At 35.1% G+C, this 12,449-nt stretch overlaps 1 long non-coding RNA gene across 3 annotated transcripts; it reads right to left on the bottom strand.

Moving 5' to 3' along the window:
* Nucleotides 1–8,651: 8,651 nt before the first annotated feature.
* On the bottom strand, nucleotides 8,652–12,214 carry LOC105372923 (uncharacterized). 3 transcript variants are annotated; one of them, XR_001738467.2, is made up of 3 exons: nucleotides 12,029–12,214; nucleotides 10,542–10,649; nucleotides 8,652–8,943 (listed from the first exon to the last, which is right to left on the bottom strand). It is a non-coding gene; the product is annotated as an uncharacterized LOC105372923 (long non-coding RNA). The 3 variants fall into 3 exon arrangements; XR_001738468.2 differs by lacking the exon at nucleotides 12,029–12,214 and adding an exon at nucleotides 11,600–11,710; XR_007067049.1 differs by lacking the exon at nucleotides 12,029–12,214 and having other exon boundaries at nucleotides 10,542–11,710.
* Between the last annotated feature and the right edge of the window lie 235 nt (nucleotides 12,215–12,449).

Here is a 12,449-nt window from a genome sequence, read left to right as displayed (position 1 = left end):
CCACGCCCAGCCTCCCTTTTAGATTTTCTGAGATGATGTTTTCTTGTTTAAACCAATTTGACTTATGGGTTTCTGTCACTTGCTACTGAAGTATTCTTAACTGATGCACACTGTTTTATATCCAGAGTTTACAAATCCTCCATTTGATGATCTACTATTACAAGACATACTAATACAATCTCTTGCTAAATTTATTGAAAAGATGGATGTTGATTTTTAAGAGATTTTATGAATGTGATATATATTTTATAAAATTCAGCAATACTTAAAAAAACATGGTAAATTTACATACAGATACTGCCATAATACAAATATCAACACCTGGTGGACCTTTGGAGAAGACTAGATAATTCTGTAACTCAGCCTACACTGCTTTTAAAGCTGGGATGATCCTTCACTGCTCTCACTTCAGCACCAAATTTCTGAAAGTCATTGTTCTGGTTATCTATTGCTGCATAACAAATGTCTGCAAAATTTAGTGATTTAAAATAATATTCCTTGTATTATTTCTCGTGGCTTCTCTGGGTCAGGAACTGGGGAAGGGCTCAGCTAGGTGGTTCTGCCTATGGAACTGCAGTCAAATGGGGGCTGGAGCATGATTGAGGTTGGAGCCGCAATCAGCTGGAGACTGAGTGGGCATCTCACTCACATCATGCGGTCTCAGGACTTTCCACGTGTTCTCTGCTCATGGGCTACTTTAGATTTCCTCAATACATGGTGGTCTCAGCATAGTTTAGACATAGGTTGTTCACAGGGCAGCTGGAGGCTTCTAGAGGGATGCAAGCCAGATAGAAGCTACAGTGACTTTTGTGACCTAGCCCAGAAAACATGCAGCATCACTACTGCTTCATTTCATTGGTTGCAAGTGAGCCACAGGCCTTCCCAGAATCAAGGGGAAGGGAATTATATTCTGCTTCTTGATGAAGGAGGAGCAAGGTTGTAGAAGAACTTATGGGTAAAGGGATATTGTGGTGGCCATTTTTGGAAAATACAATCCACCACAAATATCGAAGACCTTTATGTGTGGTTTGTCACTCCATGTCTCTTTCTTTTATGTTAATTTGGCCGTTTTCCCTCTATGTCTAAAATCTGTGGAATGACCAAAGTTTTCAGTTACTCAGAATTAAAGAAGTCATTATTTCTTTCCATGCAATTCCAGGACCACTCAGATCCCATAACGCAAATCAAATTAAGTTCAGAAAGTGAAAGAACTAAAGACAATAATGATGTGTGAGAGCATGAGTTTGTGTTGAGAGAATATAAAGAGAATGATGTGTTTTAGTATAAGTGACAAGTAGTGGCGGGCATGTCTTTAAAAAATAGTAAGATTGAAGCTAAGTAACAAATTTGGGGGAAAAATGTGTTCAGAAAGTGAATGCCTATAACCATAGTTAATTTTCACCCTGCAAACTGATCGTCCAGTCAGAAGTAGATATATAGCATCTAAGCATCTCCATTAAAAATTTTATGATCAATGACTTTGTGTGATATGGCTAATGACATGCATTATTTAGTACAAGAACGTACCCATTTGGTTAATAATCTAAATATATATAAGGGAAAACTTTTGCAATGGAAAATGAAATGTACGTTTTAGACATAAGCAGCTTCCAAAAACACACAAGTTTCCCTGTAAGAATCACACATTATTTTATAAGGAAAAGTAGAAAACCAGATTTAGAAAGTCAATCCAATCTTTCAAGAGACCACACAAAAATTAGAACAAAATGAAATTCTAGCAGCTGATGGTAACATCCAATCTTTTATATAAAAGTAAACAAAATGTAAAGTGCTCTTTTTGGTTAAACTCTCTTCTTGCCTTGTGATTCTGTTGAGGCCAGACTTACTATGTTATTACATCTAGAAAAAAAAAACCCACAAATCCAATTTCAGAAGTGTTTTTCAGTAATGTACATCATGGAGCAGGGTAGTGGTGTGGAGGGATGCAGAAGGATGTTACATCGTACATCTGTTTTCCAGTCAGCACAACTTGGAGCTGTCTCCCTTTCTGGACCAAATTTTACTTTGGTTCTTTTTGATCTTGTACTTCTTATTCATGCATTGTGCTTAACATGTGTTACAAACATAATGTGTTTAATTATCTGTCTCTCCCATTTGACTGTATGGACATGAAAGTGGGGATTGTTTCTGTCTGGCACACCTAGCAGAATGAACGAACAATGTCAGTAATGTTTTATTCAAAGAGTAAAATGTGTGTGTGTGTGTGTGTGTGTGTGTGTAAACATATTGGAAGAGTACACAGAAATTCACTTGTTTCTATAGTTCCATAGGGTAAAACTAAGGCTTGCAGTAAATGAATCAGCAAGATAGGTTTCAAATCCTTACAAAAAAAGGAAGCATAAGCTAAACATGATAAAAAACACACAACATTATCTGCTAACTTTTCAACAAAAGACCTTTCCAATCACAACAGCTTTCCAACAATGGCTCAGGTTGCCTCAATATGCAATGAACCTACCGACATGAGAATATAAGCAGAGGCCACAGGAGTGTCTCTCCAAGATACTACAGTAGATTCTTGTTCTGGGTGGACAGTGAGATTAAATGAACTCTCAATGCCCTTCTAACACAATGCCCTTCTAACACTATGAAGCTAATCTTAATACAATACCAACTCTAAACGGAGTGGATAAGGGAAAATTGGCATTTTCAAAGCACCTCCTATAGACAGACATAGTTCTAGTCATTGGGGATACAGCCATGAATAATGCAGAAAAGTCCCTGTCCTCACGGAGCTTAGACTCTAGTGAAGGAGATAGGTGATAATCAAGTTAAATAATAAATAATTTTAAATAACAATTAGCACTATGAAAAAATAATGCTGACACTGACAGTGACTAGTGTCAGGACCAGACAACATTAGATAAACTGGCAAGAAGAAAACATTTTATGTTCCATATAATCTGCGTTTATATTTTAGTAGCATTTCTATAGAAACATCCAGGACATATTCAGTACTGGCACTTCAAAAGTTAACATTAACTCTGAAAACCCTGGTTCAGTGTATTATGTGAATGCCAAAGAGGGGAGACACACCCCCTGATTTGGAGACATTACAACAATCTGGGAAAGACAATTATGTCATTTGAAAAAAGTTATATAGTAAAACAGAGCTGTTGACAACAAATGAGAGGATGGGGTAAATATTGTAGTATATCATCAAAGGGGAAAAAGTAACATGATCAGGAGTGACCAGGGAAGATATGAAAATGAAGAAGAGTCTAAAAATATGTAATTTTGTAGTAAAATCATTGGAAAACCAAATGTTCAGATTATAGCTAATGTGGTAATGGAATGCCTATTACAGGCCCACATATTTGATGTTACAAATTTCTGACACGCTTCTGCATGTAAGATATATCATTGCAAGCTCAGGGCCCATTAATATGTGCAAATGTTCATGCAGCAGATGGCATCTCACTGTATAAACATTATCAATGCAGATATTAGTAGCTAAAACGTTACCTATTTCATGTACTCAGTTCTATAACATGGACCCCAAGGATTGCTTAATTGTGAAGGTTTGTGATGTATGATTCTCATTTTTTTTTCTGTCCAAAGAAAAGATCCTTTAAAGCCCTTACACATAAAGTGTCTGTGGTGTGCATGTTGTAATCATTTGTCTTACTATTTTCTCTCAAATGTGGAGAGAAGTACAATGCAATTTTATGCTTTCTTTTAGGAAAAAGTTACTGATATTGCAGGGGAAAAAAGGAAAGAATTTTTTCATTCATTCATTAATTTATTCCTTCAAAAAATAATTTTTGAAACTCTTTTGTGTGCCAGGCACTGAGAAATCAAAGGTAAGGAAAAACTGATACCGTCCTTTTTCCACAGACCTGTGTAAACAACAAGGTGCTCACATCAGGATCAGCAGGGTGTTATGAGGAAAGAATGTAGGCTCCCCATCTAAAGAGGCCTTAAAAAGTATATTCTAGAATGAAAAATATATTAATGTTTATAAGAAAGAAAAGTTGGCAATTTTGATGAGGCAAATAAACTCTAACATTTGTTAATGGATATATGGAGTTAGTTTTATTCTAAAATGCTTTGAAATTACTTTGCATTACTTATAAGTCTCTGCTAAGAAAGAATTCCTATCTTCAAAGCACTTGGAGGGACAGTTTTTAAAATAGAGTAATCACATCAATAATTATGTAATATATAAGAATTTTAAACATCTCTAAAGGGAAAGCTACAGTCCTTATTATTTGATAAGCACTCCTAAAATAACCTGGGCTGTAAGAATAGGGCAATGTAAGACTCTCTTCAATTTGTGGAAATAATCAACTTTGCATGAATAAATTAATAGAAACAGTTTTATGTCTTTGATTGCAGTTGAACACTACTGAGTGTTCCTGAGCATCTGAAATGCCTTTCTGAAAGTTCATTCAGCAAATTCACAATGAATTGTGAATTCAATCTCCGGCACTGCACAAATGGCATCAACGTAGAACACCAAAAACCAACCCAGTATGACCATCCACCCTATACACTAATTCTATTTAAAACTATAAGGAAACCAGGAACAACCAGATGTTGATCTTAAGATACTACTGCACATCTGCCACTGCAGAAGGATTTATGAAACTCTGCAATGACAGGAACCTTTTCACATATCAGCAGTATTCTTTATTCTGAGTGTTGGATGAAGACATCAAAGAGCCACAACCAGCAACAACAAATTTAGCACTAAGACTGCCTACATACACCAAGCAAAATGGGAATTTGAGGCAATAACCAGGATACGCTTTTAAAATTTCCAACTATTTTCACACTGTTTGGTCAAATCTTTTAGGGAACTTAAATTATGCAAAAGCTTCCCCCTCTGGTAGCTTCATTTCACCTTGAATATGCAGAAGAGGATACCCAATTCTGTATTAATTCCTAGTTTTGTATTTTGAAACTTAACGGTAAACAAAAAGCATCTAGTCATTCTTGTATAATGATATTTTTAAAAATTATTTGAGGAACATGTTAAAATAAGATGATGAAACACCTTAGAAAAGTCTACCTTATGAAATATTAATTTTATTTAGAAATTATTATTGGAATTTACTTACTGCATAATTTAAGCAAGATTAATTTCACTTAATATAAACAGATTCCATTGTAGTAGGCTGTCAGCCTTAGGACAGTTTGCTGTATTAACTCTACAATTCTTTTGAACTATTTTAATACAAAATAGTATGATGGGTTGAGGGTAATTACTTATCAATAGTTTGGTTCTATGAATTATCTTTTTAATATTTATCAGGAAGTAGGATTGCCTTTCAATTTGAAGGTTTAGAACCTTTTTGTTGCTATTCTTGCTCTTTGCTAAAGATGACTTTAAATTTCTTTGTGAATTTTTAATTCTTTCATTTGTTTATTGGGAAGATACAGAGAAGGTTCATTTTGATTCCAAGAGTATAATATAAAATGAATTTTCTCTGGATAAATTTGATTCATATTATACTATTTTAAAATGCATATCCATTATTATTTGAAAAATATCTGTTGACCAATAGTTTAATCCTTTTGAAAATATATCTTTAACACAAACAGTATTTAGGAAATGTAAATTTGAAAGAAGACTCATGATTAAATCATTAGAAGAAGATGTAAATGTTATATAAAGTGTCTTTTAACAGGGAAGAATTTCTTGTACGTTTTAATTTGGTTTTTATTTTATGAAAGCCAATAGAAATTTTACAATAGCCTCCTCTTCTGATGCTCCTCTTTCTGACCACCAGATGTCAGACTTTCACTGCAAATTTAAAATTCCTCATTGCGTAGTAGACACATTTTTATTTGTAAATGTTCACTATTCTGAAATCATTTCTTTTTCACCTCCAGCGCACGATTCAAAAACTTGCCTTTGAAATATGAATACACAGACAGGGATGTTAGCTGTTTCAGGCATACATTTACAGCTCCTATTTACAGTATGCCAATTTTCAATTCACTAATGAGTTTCATATTTTGAGATATCTCTTTACATTTATACATGTACATCAATAATAGAGCTCCTTCTAAAATAAAAATGCCATACATACATGCCAAAACATGGCTATATTTGAAACAACATATAATTTAAGAATACCAAAATACATTTTATTTTTGATTCTGGCAAAAACAAACAAAAAAACAGGTGAGAAAATATTTTAAGTATTTTTGTTTTTCACATAAAATCTGTTATATAGGTGTTGTTTTTGCACAAATATCTACAACACCTATGCCAGAATTCATAATCTTCTTGAGACATAAGCATAATTTAACATATTTACCTAATTTTAAATGGAAAACAGTAAACATCAGAGTATTATATTTTAAAATTTTGTATATGCTACACCCCAAATTCATAATCTTCTTGAGATTATGCCAGAATTCATAATCTTCTTGAGACATAAGCATAATTTAACATATTTACCTAATTTTAAATGGAAAACAGTAAACATCAGAGTATTATACTTTTTAAAATTTTGTATATGCTACACCCCAAATGCACAAAACTTATTATAATACAAATTCATCTTTTCACTTAGTTATATATAATGTATTATAAGACTTTAGTTCATGTTTTTAAAGAATTATACTTTTTATTTGTGTATAATCCCTGAAACGCATTAATAGAAATATAAGAAACAATATGTAAAAGTAATTGAAGAACTTTGGTGTTAAAGTTTTTATGTGTATTAAGATTTTAAGTTTTAAAAAAAGATTTTAAGTTTAATATTTATTAGTTTAATTAATATCTGATTCTAGGTAGTACAGAACCTAAATAATTTCCAGAAGTATGTAATTGGAACAGGAAAAGCCAGGAAAAAGTATATTCTTTTTGCATCACTCAACATGTTTTGTAAAAAACCACATACACCCTATCATAAGCATTAAAGTGTTAGTAAATTGGCAACAACTGGTAAACATGCTACTATTATTTACATTTCTGACTTGGCATTAACAATGGTAAATTGTAAAGCTACTAAACAACTAGTTACAGCAAATTAATGTGATACAGTTATCTTAAAGGAAAGGAAAAGAAAGAGGCAAGGAGACTGCTGGAATGTGTGCAGGAGGGAACTATCTGATTTAAGCCAAATCTCCCAAGCCTTTTAGAATCTGTCTGCCTTACAGCAGTACATCAAAAATAATACAATTGACATTTTCCTGTCTTCACTTCTGTTAAAAGTTTACATTCTATTATTCTTCCCAGTTGAGAGACATCAAATTCCAAGAATTGCTAAGACTGACTGTGGTAGTCCTGATTTCTTTTATAATAATCTTTTGATTGTTGTTGTTTAAAAAGTTTTATTAAAATAAAAATATAAAGAACTACTTTATTATTTTTCCGTTAACATAGTTATGTCTCACTCATTTCATTCAATGTGCTTTTGGCATCTTTCTCTTTTTAATATAAACTATACATATTTATCATAGATTTCTATCTTTAATGCTGCTTAGATACCCTTTTTAAAAAGCTTCATTCAATCTGGCCTCTTTTAATAGATATGCATGTATTCCTTAGTAAGGGAATAAAATTTTGCTTTCACTTAATACTAGGTACTTCATTCTCATTATTGAGACTATGTGGAAACCCTGAATACTTGTCACAGATTCATTTTATAATCCTGAGGTTGGTTTGGCATTCCATGATTTACGCAGGGGCTTTGCTTACAATAATTGATTCATTCCATACTTGAAACCCACTGATCTCATTACAGTTATAGGAAGGCATTTTAGCTGTTGCAATTTAGACTTACCTCAAAGAAAAAAAAAAGGCACGCTCTACCCACTTCGGATTTCTGCAACATGTGAAATAATTAGGTCATATCATGTATCAAAATAAAATCCTGTTACTGACCTTTCTAGACTCAAAAGGCTGCCCTGGAAATATACAATAAAACGTATTTCATTTTGAGCAATATTTGCATGGTTGAGAATGACACTGTTGTCAACTATTAACTTCATGCACCTATTTTTCCATTAATAATTTTACTGTATTAAAATAACCAAAACACAGGTTTGAACTATAAATTCTAATATTTAAGTCAGCTTCTACAAAGAAGCTCTCAGTTCTAAGAACCCAAAATATGAAATGTAGTATATTAAGGATACCTACTAAATATTATTGAAATCCTGACTCATCTTCAAAGGTATATGCCATATTTCTTTATTTCATATACTGTTCCATAAAAATTAAAGAATACATTTTTAAAACCAACTGATCATATTAAACTATGTCTTAGAACACTGCATTTTTTTGAAGGCTTTGATAAAAATGCAGTGGGTCTTAAAGAACACATAGAGAGAATTATTTTTATATGCTAATATTTTGAACATTTAAGAACGCAGAAAATATTTGGTGAAATACTGGTTATTTAAGGGAAACTGAACTAGCATTTTTATTTCGTAAATCATTTAAAGGCTATTTAAAAATAAAGGGGTGTTGCACATCGCTTCTAGTTATGTTCTTTTCATTGAACTTTCATTATTGCTGCAAAGACTTTAAAAAAAAACTATAGTTTATCACATAGTAATTTTATCCACAGCAGAAAACAAGTTTTATAAAGTTAAAAAGGACATTTTTGCAAGAAGTATTTTCAAGCACTTATGACAAACTACATGAAATAAATAAAATAAAAACTAGGTTGTGTGCACTTGAAGTTTATTGCTTAGGAAACATTCTCTTTAAGCTAATATAATCATTTCTATGACTTACCACTGTTTAGCTATGGGGGTGGGAGACATTTCTCTGGTGGGGAAAAAGAAACTTTGAGTTTTCCTGTCAATTGTGAATATTCTTGATTTGGCTGATGGGAGTCTTGATCTCCCAATCCTAATATCTTCAAGTGCAGGGAAATCTAATTCATTAACTTTTCCAAGCATTTTAAAAGTTTCTTTTCATCAGAGACCATTTTGACCTTCTTTATCCATACCACTCTAGAGATCAGAAATACAAATGACAATAACAGATACCCATTAGTAGCTCAGAAGCCCACGCTGTATGACTGTACACTCTAAAGGCAAATTATCTTTGTACAAAAATATCCATATTTTAAATGAACCGTTAGACACTGGATACCACAGTGACAAGTATCCTAAGATCAGCATAGGATCATTTTAAAATGTTCTAATCTTAAAAATGTGAGATATGAAATATTTTAAAATGTATTTACGCAAAATGTATTTTTAAAATACCCTCAGATAATTTACTCATCTCTATTCTCCCACTTATATGTTTAAATTAAATATTAAAAGTAAAGTCAAGTCCTGAGAAACGACTGATTTCAGCACAAAGGATAACTGTTGTTCTTCAAGTTACTTCAAAATTATAGGAAGAACTGTTCTTTTCAAAACTTGTATTGCTTGAGCAAAAATGTATTTAATTTACATATGTGTTCCTTTTACTGAATAACCCTTTAATAGTTAGTTTAGTGAAAACTGTGTTCTAATAATCCAAGGAATAGTATCAGATGCACGTATCAAGAATTGTTCATCCTTACCAATAACTATATTTTAGATGATTTTTTATTTCCAATATTAAAATAAAAATGTTTACAGTTCCTTTGTTTAAAATAATCATTTTATAATTAGTACCTAATATTTGTAGAAACAAAAGGGAATTTGTGTTTCAAATTTAGAATGTATTGAAGTTTTTAGGAGATAATAAATAATTTAAAGAATTTTAAAGATTAAGACAAACGACTATTTTTCAAGGTTATCTATGTTTGTAAGTGGTGGTGTTAGGTTTTCTAGACTTTAAATTTACAAATTTTAGTTTCACAAAGTTGTATTATACCCACACCAAAGGGGAGAAATGTATAAATTTGAAAGTTTTTTCGAACCTTTAAAATAGAAATATTAATATGAATGATTACTGTGACTTTCTTTAGCCAACTATAAGTAACTTCATTCAGGGAAGATAAATTAGTAAATCTCAATGCTTTAAGTTTTTTAAAATAAAAAATTTAAAATTAACCAGAAAATCAATTTTGAAGTACAATATTAGTGAGAATAACTATAAAGATCTATAAAATACTTTAAAACCGAATCCATTAGAGGTGAATATTATGAGATAAATTTTCTTTAAAATTACCTAATTTTCTATTAGTTATGCCGCTCTCTTTTGTCTCAGAGTTTCTATTTCATATACTCTATTTTATATATCTTACTGAAATTATAAAACATACACTGTCCTGAAACAAATATCAGTCAGACATTTCAAACTCCACTGATATCTAAAATGTCCTTAGAAAAAATAATAGAAAAGACTTAAAAATAAATCTGGAAAGACTGGCATTACAATAAGCTTTTCGTTAACTAAAATAATTTATTCACTACGTTTTTATTTTCAATATTTTGTTGAAACAGAAGGCATTTATATATGTACTCTTGTTACTCTTGTAGAAAAGAGATTCCCCCCTTTTTCAAGCATAATGAATGTACTGAAATCACTCTCCCGTCACTTATATAATTGCAACCATTAATAAACATTTGTGTGGCAATATTACCAAGCAGCACCTAAAGTAAATACATACTTTACGAATTCTGGATTATGTTCTCAATTTGCACTCCATTTCCTTTTTCCACTTGGTTATATTTCCCTCACTTCCCTTGTTTATTTTCATAATCACACCTTCCCCGACCTGTCCAAAGAACCATAGTGGTTACAGTAAAAAACACTGTACAGAAACATTTTCTACAGCCAGTTTATGAGAGTATTGATTCATTTTGGATACTTTTTCTTGCCACTCTACTGCTTTTCTGCCATTCTCACACGTGCTCCTTATCCAGGGCACTTACATGAACTCCCCTCCTCTCTCTGCTGATTTCATCGTCCCCCCCACCCACCATCAAACATTAAACCCCTTGAAGGACTACTCCCAAATCTCATTCTGTAACTGGATACATTAATTTTAAAAACTGGGTTTCTCGTGAAAGTTGGCTTTGTGATTAGGTGTCTTAGAAAATTCTTTGCACTGGGAAACGGACTATATGGGAATTTCCTTATGTTTTCTTTTTCTCTCCCCACAATGCCACATAAGGTGCGATTCAATATTTTTGATAACTTTAAGGGCAAATAATATTTCATGTTAATTCCTATTTCCTGAACAGAATTTTAAAGCAAAATAATATGCAGACAGTAACCCCCCAAAGATGGTTTAAAATTTTTTTCTCATTTGCATAGCAAGATTTAATTTTCATCCCTTAAATATGACGAATTGCTGAGATTTTCTCCAGTTAATGCTTTTAACAGCTCCCAATAAACTTCATTAATCAGGCAAGCTCGAGGCCCAATGTGTAGCCTGCAAGCAGCTAATTTGCTTGATGAGACCCCGACTTCAGTGAATAAACAGGTGTATAATCTGAGGGCTTTATGGCCTTAATTACAGTCTAATCAGTTCAGCGGTTGGCGGGCAAAAGAGAAAGAAAAAATGGTGGGGGTGCGGGGGGAGCTCAAAGCCACTTTTCCTAAAATAGGCGACATGTCCTCTTTCTTAATACACCTCAACGACTAATCTTCAGTTTCTTCTCCCCGTCTATTTCCTCCTTCCCGTCCTCTGGCTGTTTCTCCTCGGCCTTCCCTCCGCTTAACCTCTGCGTTCCCGCTCCTCCTTTCTCGCCGTCTTGGCGTCTCCCCGGGAAGCGCTCCGCTCCCGGGCTCGGGCTCGCACCTCCGCGATCCCGGTTTCTACCGTTCCTCGGGCGGCGGGGTCACTTTGCTCCCCCTCTTGTTGGCGTCCCCCCTTCCTCCCCTCTCTTCTAGCCCTCTCCGCTCCCCCCGGCATGTCCCGCCCCCGCTCCCCGCTGCACATCCTCCCTGTCACCCGTGGGCCGCCTGACAAATCACTTCAAGGGCAGCCGAACTTTGAAGGACAAGACAAAGCTCCGGCATATGGTCCGATCCCCAGATGTTTGTCTTTCTTCTGCCGCAGCCCCCCACCTCCCCCTGCCCGGGGTTCGTCGGCAACCCAGCTCAGCACTTCCTTCTCCTTGCGCCCCGCGCCGCTCCCCGCTCCCCCACCTCCAAGTTCCCCGCCGAGGGGGAAGTCGCTTAATTTTCCTCTACGGCTTTTGTTTCGCCGGCCTCCCTCTCTAGCCGATTAGTGGGGGGCAAGGCGAGGTTCCTTTAACCTAACGAGGTCTGTGGAACTCCGCCGTGAGAGTCTCCCGGTCGGCTCCCGGGACGTGGGGTGCGGAGAGGCCGCGACGCGGCGGGACAGGGCAAGGCCCCGGCGAGGTGCCGTCCCGAGACGCCGTTCGCGTCCCCGCTGGGGCGCGGGCTGGGGCCGCTCTGGGTCCCGGCGCCGCCCGGGACTGGAGGGCGCGCAGCGGGTCGGCGGCTCTTCGGCTTCCCTACCCGCTCACTCGGGGGCGCACTGGCACCCCCAGGCCCCGGCCGCGGAGGAGCGAGCCTCCCTCGCCCCGCAGCGCGACTCCGACTG

Source organism: Homo sapiens, chromosome 1 (assembly GCF_000001405.40).
Source record: "Homo sapiens chromosome 1, GRCh38.p14 Primary Assembly".
Lineage (NCBI taxonomy): Eukaryota > Metazoa > Chordata > Mammalia > Primates > Hominidae > Homo > Homo sapiens.
This window is presented reverse-complemented; position numbering and strand designations above follow the sequence as displayed.